This window comes from Homo sapiens, chromosome 11 (assembly GCF_000001405.40).
Source record: "Homo sapiens chromosome 11, GRCh38.p14 Primary Assembly".
In the NCBI taxonomy this organism is placed as follows: domain Eukaryota; kingdom Metazoa; phylum Chordata; class Mammalia; order Primates; family Hominidae; genus Homo; species Homo sapiens.
The window spans coordinates 11,961,888-11,979,388 of NC_000011.10; the positions used below are offsets into that span (position 1 = coordinate 11,961,888).

The 17,501-nt window shown below is 51.6% G+C and overlaps 1 protein-coding gene across 8 annotated transcripts in view, besides 8 other annotated features; it reads right to left on the reverse strand.

Annotated features, from left to right (window-relative positions):
• Positions 1 to 1,148: 1,148 nt before the first annotated feature.
• Positions 1,149 to 17,501, reverse strand: part of DKK3 (dickkopf Wnt signaling pathway inhibitor 3) — a 46,710-nt gene continuing 30,357 nt past the window's right edge. For 5 of the 8 annotated variants that reach the window (XM_047426775.1, NM_013253.5, XM_006718178.3 and 2 more), the window contains 4 exons: positions 6,508 to 6,600; positions 5,067 to 5,211; positions 3,922 to 4,078; positions 1,149 to 2,799 (listed from right to left, as the gene is read on the reverse strand). In XM_047426775.1, coding sequence (XP_047282731.1) covers positions 2,577 to 2,799; positions 3,922 to 4,078; positions 5,067 to 5,211; positions 6,508 to 6,600 — 618 coding nt within the window. In that variant the 3' untranslated portion in view covers positions 1,149 to 2,576. Of the gene's footprint in view, positions 2,842 to 3,921; positions 4,079 to 5,066; positions 5,212 to 6,507; positions 6,601 to 17,501 lie in introns of all 8 variants that reach the window. The other 3 variants (XM_047426774.1, NM_001330220.3, XM_017017555.2) reach the window with 1 other exon arrangement.
• Positions 5,086 to 5,135: a silencer, noted in NCBI's record as "silent region_3160". NCBI's record gives its function as "represses an Ori minimal core promoter by ATAC-STARR-seq in GM12878 lymphoblastoid cells {active_cell/tissue: GM12878}" and the evidence as "EXISTENCE:reporter gene assay evidence [ECO:0000049][PMID:35858748]".
• Positions 5,978 to 6,602: an enhancer, noted in NCBI's record as "H3K27ac-H3K4me1 hESC enhancer chr11:11989412-11990036 (GRCh37/hg19 assembly coordinates)". NCBI's record gives its function as "activates a minimal SCP1, AML or CMV promoter by ChIP-STARR-seq in primed H9 embryonic stem cells {active_cell/tissue: H9 hESC(primed)}" and the evidence as "EXISTENCE:reporter gene assay evidence [ECO:0000049][PMID:30033119]".
• Positions 6,603 to 7,226: an enhancer, noted in NCBI's record as "H3K27ac-H3K4me1 hESC enhancer chr11:11990037-11990660 (GRCh37/hg19 assembly coordinates)". NCBI's record gives its function as "activates a minimal SCP1, AML or CMV promoter by ChIP-STARR-seq in naive H9 embryonic stem cells {active_cell/tissue: H9 hESC(naive)}" and the evidence as "EXISTENCE:reporter gene assay evidence [ECO:0000049][PMID:30033119]".
• Positions 7,227 to 7,850: an enhancer, noted in NCBI's record as "H3K27ac-H3K4me1 hESC enhancer chr11:11990661-11991284 (GRCh37/hg19 assembly coordinates)". NCBI's record gives its function as "activates a minimal SCP1, AML or CMV promoter by ChIP-STARR-seq in naive H9 embryonic stem cells {active_cell/tissue: H9 hESC(naive)}" and the evidence as "EXISTENCE:reporter gene assay evidence [ECO:0000049][PMID:30033119]".
• Positions 7,851 to 8,474: an enhancer, noted in NCBI's record as "H3K4me1 hESC enhancer chr11:11991285-11991908 (GRCh37/hg19 assembly coordinates)". NCBI's record gives its function as "activates a minimal SCP1, AML or CMV promoter by ChIP-STARR-seq in naive H9 embryonic stem cells {active_cell/tissue: H9 hESC(naive)}" and the evidence as "EXISTENCE:reporter gene assay evidence [ECO:0000049][PMID:30033119]".
• Positions 14,525 to 15,086: an enhancer, noted in NCBI's record as "H3K27ac-H3K4me1 hESC enhancer chr11:11997959-11998520 (GRCh37/hg19 assembly coordinates)". NCBI's record gives its function as "activates a minimal SCP1, AML or CMV promoter by ChIP-STARR-seq in naive H9 embryonic stem cells {active_cell/tissue: H9 hESC(naive)}" and the evidence as "EXISTENCE:reporter gene assay evidence [ECO:0000049][PMID:30033119]".
• Positions 15,087 to 15,648: an enhancer, noted in NCBI's record as "H3K27ac-H3K4me1 hESC enhancer chr11:11998521-11999082 (GRCh37/hg19 assembly coordinates)". NCBI's record gives its function as "activates a minimal SCP1, AML or CMV promoter by ChIP-STARR-seq in naive H9 embryonic stem cells {active_cell/tissue: H9 hESC(naive)}" and the evidence as "EXISTENCE:reporter gene assay evidence [ECO:0000049][PMID:30033119]".
• Positions 15,319 to 15,488: an enhancer, noted in NCBI's record as "experimental_19383 CRE fragment used in MPRA reporter constructs". NCBI's record gives its function as "activates a minimal promoter by MPRAs in K562 erythroleukemia cells, with activity observed for the non-introgressed 11:11998838 variant allele {active_cell/tissue: K562}" and the evidence as "EXISTENCE:reporter gene assay evidence [ECO:0000049][PMID:34662402]".

A 17,501-nucleotide genomic window follows, 5' to 3' on the forward strand; every position in this document is an offset into this window, starting at 1 on the left:
CACATTTCACTCAGGACTGAGTAAAGGAGACACTCAGATGCTACTCAGATGCTGGCTTCAGCTAAGTATTTTGCAAAGCCTCTCGTGTTCTTACAAGTTTGTGGCTATCATGACAAAATGGAGCAGCCTACTATATCTACATATACAACTATGGGGGACCTAGTTTTATCTCATTTACCACAATGTTTTCAATCATTTTTTGGATGACATAATTTTTAGCCTCTTCTCTAAATGCTTCCTCAAGCTTTCCTTGCCTTCCAGCCACTGCAAATGACTTGCAGTTTCCCCTACATGGCACCTGACCCTTGTGCCTCCCTCCCTCTGCCCATGGCCCAGAAAGCCCTTTCCTGTGCCCTCTGGCTTCCTGATAAACTCCTATCATCTTCAAGAGCCAGTTCCCATGCCAGCTCTCCCCAAGTGCTCCACTGAGGCTTCCGTAACACCTCTGTTCCCACATCGGGTTGACTGTCTTTGTTTTGTCATTGCTTGCTCTGGCTGTGTCTCCCTCATTAGACTGGGATGCCTTCAAGGTAGGGACCCTATCTGGGTCAGCTTGGCACCCCAAAGCGTACCACAGCACCTGATTCTGAGGAGGCTCTCAGTAGATATCTGTTGAGTAACCAGAATGTAGGGTGGTCCTGATGGTTTCTGACATTGAATAGAAAACAGCTCCCTATTTGATCTTAAAATAATCACTATAACCTGGACATACTGTACTAGATGCTGTTTTTGTCTGACTTCTACTCTGTCAATCTCTTTGCACCTCCATTTGTTCATCTGTGAAATGAAGAAAATGCTCATGGAGTTCAGTGAAGATTAAATGAATGAATATAGGTAGACTGCCTAATCTGGCACTTGCCACGCAGCTGACTTCAATATAGTAGCTCTAATATTATGGTCCTTGAGGATCTTACTGTCTTATGGCCCAGAACTGCATTTGATTAAAGAAGGCTCCCCTAAAAAAAGAGTCATACATATTCCATTTGTCCTTTCAGAAGGCCGTGAAGCATTTACACTCTTTAAGACAAATTCCCATCCAAAAATAGTTAAGATTTCTAAAATATTTTGATGCTGAAAGAGGTGTGCTTCAGTTGGGTGGCAAATTTGCTTCTATGGAAGATTTTTAATACAGGTTGTTTCTATTTTACTTTTTCTGGCTGAAAGGATTTTACATTTATTCAAAGTCAAAAGGGAAAAGAAATCCAAGAACTACAGAAGAGCAGTTGAAGTGATTTATGCTTGATTTCTAAATGCAACTTATGTTTATACATAATTTAAAACTCAAAGAAAGCATGCTTATACAATCATGTGCAACTTTAAACTTTAAGAACTCTGGATGAATACATGGTGGCAACAGTCCATGACACCTGAAAACATCATTTGTGGAGTGGCGTAGAGTTCAGTGTTCGCAGTCGCATATTACAACCATGTTTCACACAGCCCTGCTCGGTTTGATTTTCTCCACGTGGTTGATAATTGTCTTCAGTTGCTGCTAAGTGATTTTGCAAATTTCATTTATAATCCTCGCCCTACAATTACCTAAGTACTGTTTCTGCAGGTTAACCTGTATGCTACGCTCAGTCATATACCTTTCAAAGTTACTAATGCAACTGCCAAAGAGGGACAGTGTCAATATCATTGTCTTCATTAGAAGGACGGCTGCCCCACACTGTGAGAACACTGCTGTTCCTAACAGTAGTTTACTTTTAGAGGGATGTGAGAATTAGTTTGACCTTAATTCCAGATGTGCATGCCTCAAAAGAAAAATCCCATTCTCCTTCCTTTTGGGGAGCACTTTTGGTGGCACCAAGGCTGGTGTGGGGTAGTGGAGAGAGCACTGAGCTTAGAGTCACAACCAGATGAAACTGCTCTGGTCTTCACTAGCTGTGTGACTTGGGCAAGCAGCTTGCAGTCTCTGAGCCTCTGAGATCCCTGATGGACGAGGAGAACAATGACCCCCTCCCCAGGCTGTGCTGAGAGAGGGAATTGATCTTGGATATGAAAATGCTGCCCTGGCACAGAGGTAGGAGCTGAGCAACACTGCTGGATGAATAAACACATGTAATGCAGGGTGAACAGAACATTTCATCTGCAACAGCTGAAGGCACAGCTTACCTATGCCCATGGAAAGAACTGCGTGGAAAATTCATTTGTTGCATTTTTGCCAGGTTGATGTTTGCAAAGCAGGGCACTCTTCTCCACATTTCCCCAAAACCAATCAGAGGGAGACTCCACATTGTTTCCATCTCCTCCCCTCAAACAATTATCAAAGCCATGTAGAACAAACGGCTGTCTGCCAACTGGTAGAGGCAAAGCAGCCAATAATCTGGACAGGGGTGGCAAACTGCTCCTGCAGTTTAACCCTGCCTGACTCTCCCAAGCACCAGACTGTGAAGCCTGGAGAACAGCCTGGGGGAGCTGAACAAATGCACAACACCTCATGCTGTCAAGCCAGAGGGGAAACTTACTGGGAAGAAGATGTAGGAAGAAGCCTGGTCAGCCCACGCCTAAAGCACACACCTGGGGAAATAAATTAGCTATTTCTATTGCACATCTACCCACAGCCTGGTCCAGATCTAAATCTCTTCCCCTCCCAGCAGTGCAGCGGCGGCAGCCGCAGGCTCCCTCAGCGCCATCTCTTCAGTCAGGCTCCTCTCCAGGTCCTCCAGCTCCTGGCGCACCTCCTCCATGAAGCTGCCAACTTCATACTCATCGGGGACCTCTCTGGGCAGCAGGATCTCCCCATCTTGGTCACGGCTCCCCACGAAGGTCGGCTTGCACACATACACCAGGCTGTGGCTGGGGAGAGATGGGACAAAGCCAGGCTCTAAACGTGGGAGCCTGCCCAGGCCGAAAGCTAAGGCGCCCTGACTCTGTGGGGCTCCCAGCCTCACCTTCATGCCCCCTCCTCTCCTGTCTCTTCAACAGAGACACTTCACTTCCCGTCAACATCTATCTTAAAATGATGGCTGAGGGAGGCTCACTTTGGGAGAATGTGCTGGTGGGGGGCAGCTTCCCCTCCTCCAGCGCAGGCCTGACCTCCTGTGACTCTCAGGCCCCGCAGCCCAGGGGCAGGACCTGAGTGCTATGTAGCAGCACCACAGCCCCTCAAAGACTGTGGCCCATTCGGGCCTCCAGGCAGGAGTCAGCCTGACTCTGGGGTGTAGTCTAGCCACATGCAGGGAGCCATGGACCTCTGTGGGAATAGGGAGGAAGAATTCCTTTTTTTAAAAAAAATTAATGTGTTTGGTAGAGACGGGATCTCCCTATGTTGCCCAGGCTGGTCTTGAACTCTTGGCCTCAAGCAATCCTCCTGCATTGGCCTCCCAAAGCTCTGGGATTACAGGTGTGAGCCACTGCACAGAGCCGTGGGGAATGGGAGTTCTGCCTGTCTGCCCAGCAGCCCTGGATTCTGTTGGGAGAGAAGACTGAGTAGAGGCTGCGGGGAGGACAGGGAGATGTGCCCTGAGAAGCTGGCCAGGCTTGAGCCTCATGCCTCATGGAGTCTCAGCAGCCTCAGACAGTGTGGGCTGCACCCTCCACCTTGGTGGCCACTCCTGGCCTCCCCGTGGCCTCTCTGCCAGCTCCTTTTTCTCTGCTTATCTGTCATTGTGACAGGTCTGGGGAGGGAGCCCAGGCTTTTCTCCCTCCATGTCCTCTCCATGGACCATCCACTCATGAAGCTTCAGCCACCAGCTAGATGAGCCCCAGATCTGTGCCTCCTGGGCAGCCTGGGCTCCAGACCCCTAGAACCGACTGCTGATTGGACCCTTCCATCTGCATGACCCAACGACCTCTCAAACCAATCCTAAAGGGAATCTACACCTCCCCCAGGGAAAACCTGCTCCTGCTCCTACGCCCCTGCTGGATGGCACCTCCTCAGCCCTTGGCTCCCTGAGAGTGAGGGTTAGGGGGCCTCACCTGTGGGGCTGGCAGAGGAGGCCACTGGCACAAGGGCATCGGTCCAAGGCTCCATCAGGCTCTAGCTCCCAGGTGATGAGGTCCAGAAGCCGGCTGGCGGGGTCATGGCAAAGCTCGCCCTCCACGGGCAGGGGTGTGCACACAGGGAACAGCAGGCCTGGAACCAGCCCAGAGTCACCCCTGTGTGCCCCGTGTAGGGTAGAAGGGCTCCAAAGGGAGGGGCAAAGAAATGGAGCATAACCTCCCACCTCCCACCCTCAACCCCAAAGTGCAGGCTAGTTTTGAAGATACGGAATGACAGGAAACAAGAATAGCAGCCTGGGCTCAGGAGGGAATGATTGGTAGGGCTGAAGCAGGGAGGACTGCCTGGAAGAGGTGGGCTTCTGCTGGATTTTGAGGGCCAGAAAGTCTGGAGAAATTAAGAGGGAGGCAAAGGCATTCAGGCACAGGGACAGCACCAGCAAAGGCCTGGGGTTGAGCTCAGTGGAAAATGTCAGGGCCGGTGAAATTCCCAAATAGGCCAAGAAGTAGTGGAGAGAAAAGGAGGGCAAGTAAGTTGGAGCTGCATGAGGCCTCACAAGACAGCCTAAGGAGTCTGAACATCGTGGGAGACAACAGGAGCTGCTGCAGGTCCCAGGGGAGCAACACCCAAAAAGCAGCCCTTTAGGAAGATCACGGAGGCGGCAGGTACAGGGAGGACTAGTGGGCTGGGGATGCAGAGCTGGGGAGGCGGCAAATGAGAATTTTTCAAAACCCTAGTGGGGGCGGAGAGAGCCTGAGCAGACCTCACCTGGGAGAGGCAGGACGGAAGATGGGAGTGGAAGCGGGTGATTCACAGGTAGAGGAACCTGGGAAATAAGGAGTGGTGGGAGGGAGGGGGCTGCTAGTCCCACCCCATTCCAGACTGGGCTTTTGCATCCTGAAGTCATTTAACTTTTCTGAGCATCAACAGGGGAAAAAAAAGAGGTGGTCTTCCCACTCCGGGCAGAGGCTGTGGGAGTGCAGCACACACTGATGAGCATTTGGGAGCCTATCCAAGAGGTGGGACGCGAAACCATGTGGTTGGCATGGACGTGGCTCCAGGAGGTCCAGTGTGGTGGAGCTTGGGACAGGGTTTTTCCTGCATCTGAGGGGAGGCCACTCACCTCTCTGGAAGGCACAGCACAGCCCCGGCTGGCAGTCCCTCTGGTTGTCACAGATGGTCCCATTGCTGCCCCTGGTGGCCATTTTGGTGCAGTGACCCCAGACACACAGCTGGTCTCCACAGCACTCACTGTCCCGGGTGCAGAGCTGCAGACAGGTGGAAAGAGCCTAGAGCCAGCGGCTTAGGGACTGGGGGCCTGCTGAGAGCCCAGCCTGAAGATACCACAGATAGGCCAACCTGCATCCTCCCATTGTAGAGACAGGCAGACCAGGCTGAGATTTCAGTGAAAGTCAGTGGGACAGAGGTGGGAGCTTGGCTGGCGAGACATGGGGGTCAGAACGCTGGAAAAATGGCACCGGGAGGACTCATGGATCTGAGTCTTTCTCCACAGCTTAAGATTTTGCAAAGAACAGCAGGGGGTCTTTGTGGTCCCCACAGACTTGTGCTGTTCCCTTTTTCCTTAGGTCCCTAGGTCCAGGCCCAAAGAGGCAAGGCCCAATGATGAGCCGATTAAACTAAGGCCCAAGCCAGCCCAAGATGAGGATGGCCTGTGGGTGCCAGGGTCCTGCAGCCACACAGGGCATGGCAGTTAGAGAGCAAAGTGAGGTCCCCACGGCTGTGCCCAGTGACGGTACCGAGTGGGGTTGGCTGCGAGGTGCAACAGCAGTGGCCTCACCACAGACAGTCGGGTAAGGTAATAAGAACTGCTTGACTTTCCAAGCTTATTAGCATGCTGTGTTATTGTCTGAATAAGGAAAAATGACTATGAAAAGTCTGTGAGTCCATGTGGCTTCGTCCAAAATGCCTGTTGGGTGAAGAGTCTCCTTTGCCCTGGCTCCACATTTCCCAATCTAACCTGCACTGGGGCAGTGCCCTGGCCTCTTCTTGCCCTGTCCCTCTGCCCTCTCTTATTGGCAGATTGGAGAAAGATCTGGTGGGTGGGGTGCAGGTCCAGAAGGAGAGCAGCTGCCGCTCTCCCTGCCTGGGGGCTGCCGGAATGTCTCTGTTTGTCTATTAGGATGGGTCATCCCCAGGGGAAGCAACAGGTGTAGGGACACCTCCTCTCCCTTCCCTCCCCTTCTCGAACTCCCGGCCTCAATAGATCCTTCTGCCTTGGTCTCCCCAAAGTGCTGGGATTACAGGTGTAGCCACGGTGCCTGGCCGTCCCTCCCCTTCTCTACCATCAATGACACAAACAACATGACCAGAGGACATGGGGTGGATGGGAGTGGCCCTGGGTCTGCAGATGGCTTCCTGTCATCCCAAACTGGAATGAGTTCCTTGTCCTCCAGGAGTCAGCCCTCTGGGGAGCCCTCTTGGGTCCTCCCCATCATGGTGAGGCTCTTCTGGGAAGCCCAGCTGAGAACGCTGGGGCCCCTGGCTTTCTCCCCCAGGTGCCTGAGACCCTGGTGCCACAGCCCCAGAGGCCCTGGCATACTCACCATCCTCTGGCCCCGGCATGGCTGGCAGGTGTACTGGAAGCTGGCAAACTGGCAGTACATGCTGGGCCCACAGTCCTCGTCGATGATGCACTCCTGGGGAAGGGCACAGGGAGCAGATGTGTCAATGGAGAGCAGAGCAGCAGGCCCACAGTGCCCAGGAAGGGCCAGGCCCGCTTCCATTCCCCATTCTTGACCCCACAGGCTCAGCAGGGTCAGGAAAGGCCTCCAGACTCTAGTCGCTCCTGATCCCTGCCTGGCTGCACTGCCCTTCAGCATCTCCATGCCTAGGAGGCTTGGCAGCCCAGAGCCTGGAGGATCCCACACCAAATTCACACAATCGCCATCTGTGCACAGTTCTCCCCCACCCACACCCAGGGCGGGAGCACAGGGACTCAGGGCTGGTCTTCCACACAGAACATATGGATTTAATAAAAAGTGCTAATGAGGTCCAGGCCCGCCCGACTGCACAGGAAAGGCTGGAAGACAGGCCCCAAGGGCTCTGCTGACTGTGAAGACTGGGAGGCAGCAGAGGGGGCATCGCTAGGGACCCTGCCAGAAAGCCACAGCCCTGCCCACAGAGAGCGCCCTCAGGGTCCTGGGTCTAGGGTCCCTGCAAGAGGGAAAGGCAGCTGCCAGCTTGGAAATGAATTAGAGGAGGGTGGCTGGACTCCAGCCCTCCCAGCCCAGGTGCTGTCTCCTCATGGCTGCCAGCTCTGCCTGGCTGGAGAAACAGGGAGAGAAGGAGTGAGGGGAATCTGTCCACCCCAAGGCCTGAGTCACAGAACAGGGAGCCATGGCCGAGGGCACTGTGACCTGCCATGGTCGCCGGTCACTGGCAGAAGCAGGGCTGCTTCAGCTCCTGGACCTGCTGTCAGGCTCAGGCCTACGAACCGGCAGCTTTACAGCAGGGGAAGGAGGGCAGGGGAGGAGGGAACATGATGACAGGAATGGCCATTGATCGCCCTTTTGAGGTATCAGGCTTGACGGCCCTGATCTTGTTCAGTGACTCCTCCCAGCAGGAGGCAGGTAGGGACTGCCTTCTCTATATTGCCAGCCGGGAAATGGAGGCAGAGAGGTCCCTCCAAGATAATGTGACTAGTTCAGGGTGGAGGGTCTCTTTCCACCACCAGCCCTTGAGCCAAGGGGGTTCAGGGCTCCACATGTAGCAGCCAGTGGTGAGAAGGACCCTCCTGAGGCCTGGTATTCTGGGGCCCAGCAGACCTTCTGGAAGGGTCTTGAGGAAGGGAAGGACCGGCTCTCCCCTCTGACCCAGAGCATCCTCCCCATCCTGAATGCAGGTGTGGAGCCCCACCTGGAAGAGCCTGGCCGGGCAGGCCTGGACCTCCGGCAGCTGCCTCCAGTCCCCTTCCAGGGGCTCTGCTGCTCTGATCAACACTGCAAGTGCTGGCGGCCCAGCAACCAGGGTGCTCCCTTGCCAAGCATTGATGCTTTTGTTTCAGTTACTTTCCCAGCACCCCTTAAATGTCAGGCATGATACCATCGCTGTTTTTACGGATAAGAAAACCGAGGCTCCGAGTAGGGTGAACGGCCGCCCAAGTGAAGGGACTGAGTCTGAGCCAGAGCCCCAGCGGCCAGAGAAGTCCCAACAGGGCTGGGAACAAATCACAGACGCGCTTTGTCTCAGCCCAGCACACGCTCTTGTGCACAGACACAACTCAGGCTGCTCAGCCGGAAGCCTCCCGACGTTCTTTCCAAAGCAGAATGGCAAGAAAATGGAGTGGGAGGGACGACATTTGGGAGAAAGGAAGGGCCAACAGGCACAGAATCCCTTCTCTGAACCAGCCATATTTTGAGGGACTGGGGACACAAAGGTGAATGTGAGGAGGCCTCTGCCCTTAAGAAATTCGTAATTCAATTGGAAAAAGAGAGAGAGAAAGAGCAACCCAGTGGCAAAGGAGACAAAGGGTATGAACGGACAACTTAGAATAACAGAAATTTGCCTCTTCAAATAGAAAGGCGTTCAACCTCACCAATGAAATCAATCAAGAAATGCAACTTAAAAGAGCATAACACCATTTTTTTCACTTAGAATGGAAGAAATTAGAAAGGTTGAATGTCTCCATGGTGGGTGGAATAACAGCACCCCCAAAGATGTTCACATCCTATTCCCCGGAACCTGTGGGTATGTTATATTACATAGGAAGGGGAAATTAGAGGCAGAGGGAATGCAGGTTGCTAATCAGCTGACCTGAAGGTAGGGAGCGCACTCTGGATTATCCAGGAGCACCTACCTGACGGAATCACAAGGGACTTTAAAAATGGAAAAGGGAATAGAGGAAGAGACAGTGTCAGAGTGATATCATGCCAGGTGTCACAGACACTCCATTGGCCATCCCTGGCTTTGTAGATGGAAGGGGGGCCAGGGGCCAAGGAGCAGAATCTCTCTTAGAGCCTCCAGAGAGGAATGCAGCCCTGCCCACTCTTTGCTTTTAGCCCAGTGGGACTTGTGTTGGACTTCTGACCTCCAGAACTGGAAAACAGTAAATTTGTGTTGTTTTAATCCAGTAAATGTGTGGTAATTTGTTACAGCATCAATAGGAAACTAATAAAATATTCAATGTTAGTTTCAGGAAATAGGCATTGCCAAATGCTTTGGGGTAATTAAAATTGAAGATTTTTTTTTTTTTTTTTTGCAGGCAATCCATCAGCATCTATCAAATAGTTAAATGTATATGTCCTTTGACCCAATCATTTCCCTTCCTGGTGACTACCCTCAGAAACACTTGTCCATATATGTAAATATCTGAGAACAAGTGTGTTTAAGGCTATATCGTTATATTATTTATAATCCAGAAATAACAAAAATGTCCAACCAGAGGGAACTGATTATTGTACAGTCATTTCACAGAAAAATCCCTCCATGCAGACATTAAAAAGAATGCAGTTGTTCTTTGCATAATGATTTCTAAAACAAGCAAGGGTTAGAACCATAAACAAAAGCAGGGAAATTTTGAAACCATAAGCTTTTGTAAAGCCCTTCTGTAAAGCAGAATAATACCACACTCATGCCTGTGCCCAGTACTGTGGCTGGAACATCATGGGCGCACAATAAATATGTGTTGAGTGGGTGAAAGCACTTGCATCTTACTGTGGCAAACAGGCCAACAAAATGCAGATCATTAGCAATGGTTTGAGAACTAGAGCAAAAAACATACATTCCATTAATTTGGCTTCTCATTCCCCCGAAAGGCCTTCGTAGACTTGCGATTTTCACTATACATTTCCTCTCCCAGATCTTTAATTAAAAATATGAGCTAAGATTCTTCTAGCATCAATTCCTATAAGACCCTGCTGTTTACAATTATCCATCAAGACGGGTGCATTTTCATCCTTAGGAATATCTTCCTTTCCCTAAACAGGCTCCTATGCATGACAAAGCATATTCCCTTCAAACTTAATTGTTTTTCTAGGTACGGAAAAAAAATTTTGGCATGGAACTTTGCCAAAAACCTTTGAAAAACCTAAATATACCAAAGCTACTGGTTTCCTTTGGGGTATCAGCAAGGAGTGCTGGTAGGTTAGTTCCACATGACTCCCCTCAAGAAAGCTTGAGGCTTTTGTTATAATCGAGCCCACCAGCTTGTCTAGTTGGATGTGCAACTGCCATTCCCAGCAGGAACACACTCTTTAAGAATTGTGGTCATACTAGAGACTTCCGGACTCCAAGGTGCACAAACTGAATCCTAGTTTTGCCACTTAACAGCTGTGAAACCTTGGGCTGCTGACTCTACCTCTATTAAAAACAAAGATGAAGGCAGGAGCTGTTTTGCAGGGCTGTTGTACAGAGTTCATGCTTGGTGAACGGTGGCCATAGCAACAGATAGCTATGCATCTGCTCCTCCACACATCCAATGCCTGATCCCGCTATGGTGCACCCCTGCCAGGGGGCCAGTCTGTGAGCAGAAAGGAAGGTCTAAATCAACAGGGCCTTAAGGCATCCACCAAAGCTTGACATCTCTGTCCTGGTCAGCACTCGGGGATCAAACATCTAGTCCTGACTTATCTACATCCTGAGGGTGTCAAACAGGTGGGAAGTGGCCTGTATGTCCACCCCAGGCAAGTCCTGGGGCAGAGTGACCTTTTGTTGTACAAAGGCCAGGCTCTCCATCCAGTAAAGCTGTTTGTATTGAGTCTCTCCTGAAGACCGCTAGCAGTAGGGGCTGGCCTCACCTTTCCCAGTGTTTGTTAGACCTGAGGAAGAGGTCAGGCCCTCTACCCTTAGTAGAACTGAGTGGGTGGGTGGAGAGGACATGTGTCAGTGCCCTCCAAGCACAGACAGGCCCTGAGCTGAGAAATCCAGGTTTTTTTCTTTTCCATAATTCTAATTGCTCTTAGCTGTGCTCAAGGGTTCTGTCCACATTTGAGCCAAGGTGTTAAAGGGGCCTCAGCACCCAACTGGGCTCTGGATGGCTGAGAAGCTGAAATCAGAAATAAGAGGCCTGGGAGGGAAGGCGGGGGCTCTGGGCTTTTTAAAGGGGCCTCAGCACCCAACTGGGCTCTGGATGGCTGAGAAGCTGAGATCAGAAATAAGAGGCCTGGGAGGGAAGGCAGGGGCTCTGGGCTTGGGGTCTTGTTTTAGTAAGGAATGAGTACCTTGCAGGGCCTCTATCTACCTCTTAGCCCTGGGACCAGAAGAGGGACTCCATCCTGAAGTGAAAGGCACATCAAAAAGCACTTCAAAGGCTATGCCTGCAATCCATCACATGCAGGCACAGAGCCCTGGCCAGATAGGACCACTAGTGCCCGCCACCTGGCACAATTTCTCTCTAGTCTCCTTGACATAGTCCTTATCCCTACTTCACAGATGTGGAAACTGAGACTTAAGGATAGAATCTGCCCAGAGGTCACCCAGCTTGACTGGACTGGAGCCGACAGACACTTTTCATTTCCTGCTGGGGAGATCACCATTTCTCTCTCCTCTTCTTCAGTCACAACTTAGTAGCACCTGCCCGGGACAGGGCTCTGGGCCCCATGCATCCCCAGAGACAGAAGGCAGGAACTCACGGTCAAGGCCATAGCCACTGAGCGTCTGGGCCCAAATGTCATATGGCTGGAAGACAGCACCCTGCTGCATGGACTTCAGCAGCTCCTCTCCAGTCCTGGCCACTCCTGTTTGCCCCCACTCCTCCCTCCCATCCTGCTGGGGGAATCTGACAAACAGCCCAGAAGCTGGCCATGGGGAATGCAGTCATTCAGAGGATGGCTTCTTTGTTGTCCCGAGGAGGGAACTATATTTAGAAAGCTCAGAAGCTGGCGGGAGCGAGGGCTGACCGGGAACACAGCATAGATTTGGCAGGAATGTCAGGCTGGAAGCAGCCCCGGTGCTTTGACACTATCATGAAATAGTGGAAAATGGCAAAGGAGCCATTCAGAGTCTTTGATTTTCCAGTTTAGAGTTGATCAGAGGAGAGAGGCTCTGAGTGAGCAGAAGTCAAAACTTGGAGGAGGGAGAGGACAACAATGAGTCCCTGGAGGCTTTCCCAGAGTCTGTGTGGGGCCCGCAGAGGCACCGCTTCTTTGGGACCCTTCTGATGCTGCATCTCATTCCTCATACTGGCTGGGCACTTGGATTTCCCACACTTCTCAGGAATCCCAGACATTCTTGTTCACCGGAGGCCCAAAGGAAGAGGCTGCTGGGGATGGATGCCTCCAGGGCCAGGGCCTTCCCCAAGCTCCTCTCAAGCCCATGGCTCTGGAGAGAACATCTTCAGGGCAAGAAGTGAGGGTCAACTGCATGCAGAATGGAGGCCCAGGACCTCCACCAATAGGATGCACTTGTCCTCAGAGCTCTGCACACTGTGCAGGAGGAGAGGACAAGAGTGAAGTTTAGAAAGCGCCAACCAGTTGCCTGCACATCCTTCAGGCTTTAAGTATAGTATGCCTCTCGGATCCTCACAGCCACCCTTTGAGGTCAGTCACCATCTTAGTCCATTTTTGCTGCTATAGCAGAATACCTGAGACTGGGTAATTTATAATGAACAGAAATTTATTGGCTCATGGTTCTGCAGGCTGGCAAGTCCAAGATTGAGGAGCCAGCATCTGGTGAGGGCCTTCTTGCTACATCATCCCCTGGCAGAAAGTGAAAGGGCCACAAGAAAGGGCAAGAGAAAAGGGGACCAAACTTGCCCTTTTATAAGAAACCAACTCCCACAATAATGGCATTAATCCATTTATGACTGTGGAGCCCTCAGGATCTAAATACCCCTTAAAGGTCTCACCTCTTAATACTGTTAAAATGGAAATTGAATTTCAACATGAGTTCTGGAGCAGTCTCTGACTCTAATTCCCCCAGCACGTGCTTGACTCGCAGCTGCCATTCACTAAAAGAATAACAGAAAGTTAGCTGGGCATGGTGACATGCACCTGTGATTCCAGCCACTTGGGAGGCTGAGGTGGGAGGATCGCTTGAGCCTGGGAGGCAGAGGTTGCAGTGAGCCAAGATCGCACCACTGCACTCCAACCTGAGTCAGACAGTGGACCCCATCTTGAAAAAAAAAAGAATAACAGAAAGAACGAACTGACCAGTAGATGAACCACTGGTCATAGAGCCTTAGAGCCTAATGGTGTTGATGGAAGAAAAGCTCAGATTTACACACACATTCATAAGAGCACACATCCTTCCCTCACAGCTCTCAGAAGGAAACAATCCTGTTGACATCTTGATTTCAGACTTCCAGCCTCCAGAACCGTGACAGAATAGATTCCTGTTAAGTCGTCCTGTTTGGGGTACTTTGTGATGGCAGCCCTAGCAAACTAATACATGCACCTTCCCCCGATACAAGCCAGCAGCCCCAGTCTCCTCTGTTTCGGATCTTCCACGCACAGTCAGCTCTGTTCCTAAGCCTTCAGCATCTTATTGCTAGAAGGTGACAGAGGGGTGGTCAGTGGGGAGGTGCTGGTACATTCCAAAGGATGTGGAGCCACAGGGACCAGAACAGCGTCTCTTGGCTGAGCCAGGCTCTGGCACTCCAGCCCCGTACACATTCTAGTCACTGAAGGTTTGGGTGGGGCATGTTATCTGTGGATTACCATTTCCTGGCACCCTGGGGGTGGTGTGGTCATGCCAGGCCCTGAGTGCTCCCAGGATGAACAGATGGTATAATTTGTGAGATAAACAAATAATCCTCTCCTGGATGTGGGGCTGTTCCCAGAACCCACGGGTGGGGAGGCAGCTTGGCCCAGGCACCCTCCTGAGCAGAGGTGGTCCTCTGGTAAAGAGTCAGCAGTGTGGGTGAAGTGGCCAAGGTCCTGGTTCACCCAGGGCTAGGGGTATCCTGGGATGCAGGACTTGCAGTGCCAACACTGGGAGAGTCCAGGCACAGTTCCCCATTCCCCACTGGGCCCCCACACTCCCCTCTACAGGCTCTGTCGCTGCACTTGCCATAATGCTGGGTCACAAGTCAAGACCATATGGCACAAGTGCATCTGGGGCCATGTAGGGCTGAGACAGGCTTTTGCGCCCACACCTCGGTTCTAATACACGTTCACTTACAAGCTAGGTGATCTTGGCCTAATTACTGAGTCTCTCTGGGTCTTATCTGTAAAGTGGGGAACCTCATGAAGTTACTGGACAGATTAAAGGAGATAACAGATGCAACAGTGCTTAGTGGCCTCCACCCACTCTACCCCTAGCGTGGATCTCTATTTGCAGTGCTTAACTCACGGCAGGAGCTCAAAGGATGGCCTCTCCTGAGCTTAAGTGTGGGCCAATGGGTCTTGTTTGTTAATGAATACATTTCTACTGAAAAGGCCCAGAACATCAGGCTTGAGCCAGTGCCCTTCCCATTACCAACAGCACAACTTCCTGCTTCATCCTAGAGCCCTCTGCTCTGGAGGGGAAGACAAGAAGAAGGAGGACAGTTGCAATGGAACCAAGAGAGGGCCCAGGATGGGCCAACTACCAACAAGGACAAGGAGGCTGCACGGAACAAGAAAAAACAGACACAATTCGATCACCCCTGGGGGCTAGACCCCTGAGCATCCATCACCTCAGCTCGTCCTCACACTATCCTGTCTTCCACAGTAAGCAAGAGAAGCCCCATTTGACAGATGAGGAAACTGAGACAGTACAATGAAGTCACTTGCCAAAATCAGAAGTGGCAGAGCTACACTCAAGCCAAGTTCTGCTCAACTGCAACCCAGTGCTCTGTGGAGCTCTCTCTGGGAGTGGTTGGGCTGGGTCGGGGCCCCAGCCAGGGGGCAGGAGGTGGCAGTGTGAGGCAGGAGGGAACTCTGGAACTCTCAGGGAGGTGGAGCACTGCCAGCTGTGCCTGCTGCAGGAGGGCAGGGTCCACAAGGCTGGCCCTGGCACAAGGTGACTGGAGGATTAGCAACAGTGCCCTGAGGAAGAGCAGCAGGAAGCTTCCCTTTTATCCTACAGGATTCCCAAGTCAGGTTTTCCCCATTCCTGAGAGTCCTTTTTTGACCTTAAAACCAGGCCAGTCGCAGGAGCCTGTAAGATGCACATTTGTCTGGAACGCAGCAGGGCGCCTCCAGTCTTTCCTGGATGCTACACTGGAAACTCTCAGCCAGCTCAGGGGGTGGGGGCCCCAAACCTCACTGAGGGGCTCTAGCCTGACCCGCTGCAGAGACTGCCCTGTGGAAAAACCCAGGCAGGAGCCAGGAGCCCATCAGTGCCAGCTATTATTATTCTAAAGTGCCAATGTCTGCAAAGGCCTGGCTCGCCTGGGGCTGCTCCCACCAATTTTCTTCCCCCAAGTCACACTGCCCAGGAAAGAGGAAAATGCACCCCCGAGCAGAGCTTGGCACCCCAGGGTATGGAGAACACTGCTCCTAACCCTTTAGTGCCTGTCATGCCTTCCTTAATCAGGAAAGAGTCCTGGAGTTCTCTCTCTCCTCCTATCCTCCCTCTTCTCCTTCCAATATATACAGACAGCTCCCACCTCCAGAGCTCCTCTGGGAGCCTTCTCTCTTTGTCGGTCCCTGGAAAAGCTTGTTCCTTCCTCCAGGAATCTTGTCCTGCTGCCAGGCCACCGAGAGCCAGCCCTCCACACACAGAGCCTCCCAACATTCTTTCAGCCTGAGTGGCATTTCCTCTGGAGAAGTTAGACGCATATTTAACTCCAAAGGAAGCAGCTTGTCTCTACTCATCCAAGTGCCTGTCATCCCACCTGGGTTGGCAGCCGTTGGGAGAGCCCTCTCTACCCACTCCCCCCAACACTTCTCCGGGGACTTAGGGTCTCCACAGCCCCGACCACCTATCCAAAGGCACGCTGTGTGGGTGGAGCCACTGAGCCTGGCCGGGGTCTATTCCCCAGACACACCGAGTCCACAGTTAGCACTCCATATGCAGAAGATCAGGAGGCTGATGGGCATTTCAGGCCCAAATGCACTGACAAGTCCAGCAGCACTTCCAGGTCTCCCAGACCCGCTGCCTCCTCCATGGCTCCTTATTCCACTTGCATGGGACCTCTTTGTTTAGGGGCCTCAAAGTGGGGAACCTCATGAGGTTATTGGACAGATTAAAGGAGATTTAGCCAAATTTAGCAAATAATTTAGCTGAATTTTATTTGTCAGATTTAGCAAATAAAATTATAGGATGCCCAGCCATAGTTGAATCTCAGATAAACAATGAATAATATTTTCATACAGTATGCCTCAATTATTACATGGGACACACTCATACCAAAAATTATTTTAGATTCTATAGGGTGTCTTGTATTTTATGTGCCAATCCGATCAATGTGAAGATTCAACAGGTGCATTTCTTGGAAGAGAGAAAGTGGGGTTGGCCTTGAGCAGGAGAAGGTTGAGAAGGAAGGGCTGGTGGCCACAGAAAGAGAGGTGGCCTCAAAGACATCCATGAAGATAAGCCAACAAGGACATCAGGGTGCCTGCTCCTGACCCCACTCCAGGGAGGAGGCTGGGAAGCACTGCCCTTCCTCCCCGTACCCACTCACGACCCCAGATTCTGGCCTGTGCTTCAGGGGCTTTGTGAGCATGTGCAGCTTTTCTTCTTCTTCTTCCTCTTCCTCTTCTTCTTCCTCTTCCTCTTCTTCTTCCTCTTCCTCTTCTTCTTCCTCTCCTTCCTCCACTTCTTCTTTTTCTTCCTCTTCTTCTTCTTCTTTCTTCTTTCTTCTTTTTTTTATCGTTTTGTTTGGTTTTGTTTTTAACTTTTTTTTGTAGAGATGGGGTCTCTCTATATGTTGCCCAAGCTGGCCTTGAATTCCTGGCTTCAAGTGATCCTCCCACCTTGGCCTCCCAAAGTGATGGGATTATAGGTGTGAGCAACCATGCTCAGGTGCAGCTTCTGTACTTGGAGAAAAGCCTCTGGATTGTGTATGATAACAGGGGTTGTCATGAAACAATCATAGCCATAATGGCCGATATTTATATTGCTTCCTAGATATTATTCCCAGAGCTGTCCTGCATCCTAAGCATTAACTCACATGATCTCCAAAACACTCCACTGAGAGAGGGCTGTTACTATTCCTTTCTATTTTACAGATGAGGAAATGGAGGCACAGAAAGGCTGAGTAACTTGCCAAAGTCACACAGCTAGTGAGTGCTGGAGCTGGGATGTGAAGCAGCAGCTGGCTCTCCTGCTAGGTCAGGCAGCAGATGGGGTCCGGGATCCAAAAAGATGGCCAGGCTGAGTATCCCACGGTAACAAGAGCAGCTACAGAGGTGGGGAACAGGTTCACCGACGCAAGGAAAGGCATGAATCACAACAGCGAGAACCTCAGACTCTCCCCAGCCTGACTTTTCCCATCCATTCAGGGGCCTTGGCCTTTGTTTCCCAACCCGCAGGGAGCTCCAACTGTCCTACCCTTGTGTCAGGAAATGGAGGCTGGGTGGGGAAGCCTTGGCAGGAGCAGCCCCCTGACAGCTGCTGCTGTATCTGCTCAGGGCCCACAGGCCTTTCAGCTGCTCCAAACTCCAGGCTGCAAACCCCGCGGGACCTACAGCGTCTGGATGCAGAGCAGGAGAGCCAGCCCAGGTCAGTGTGAAGT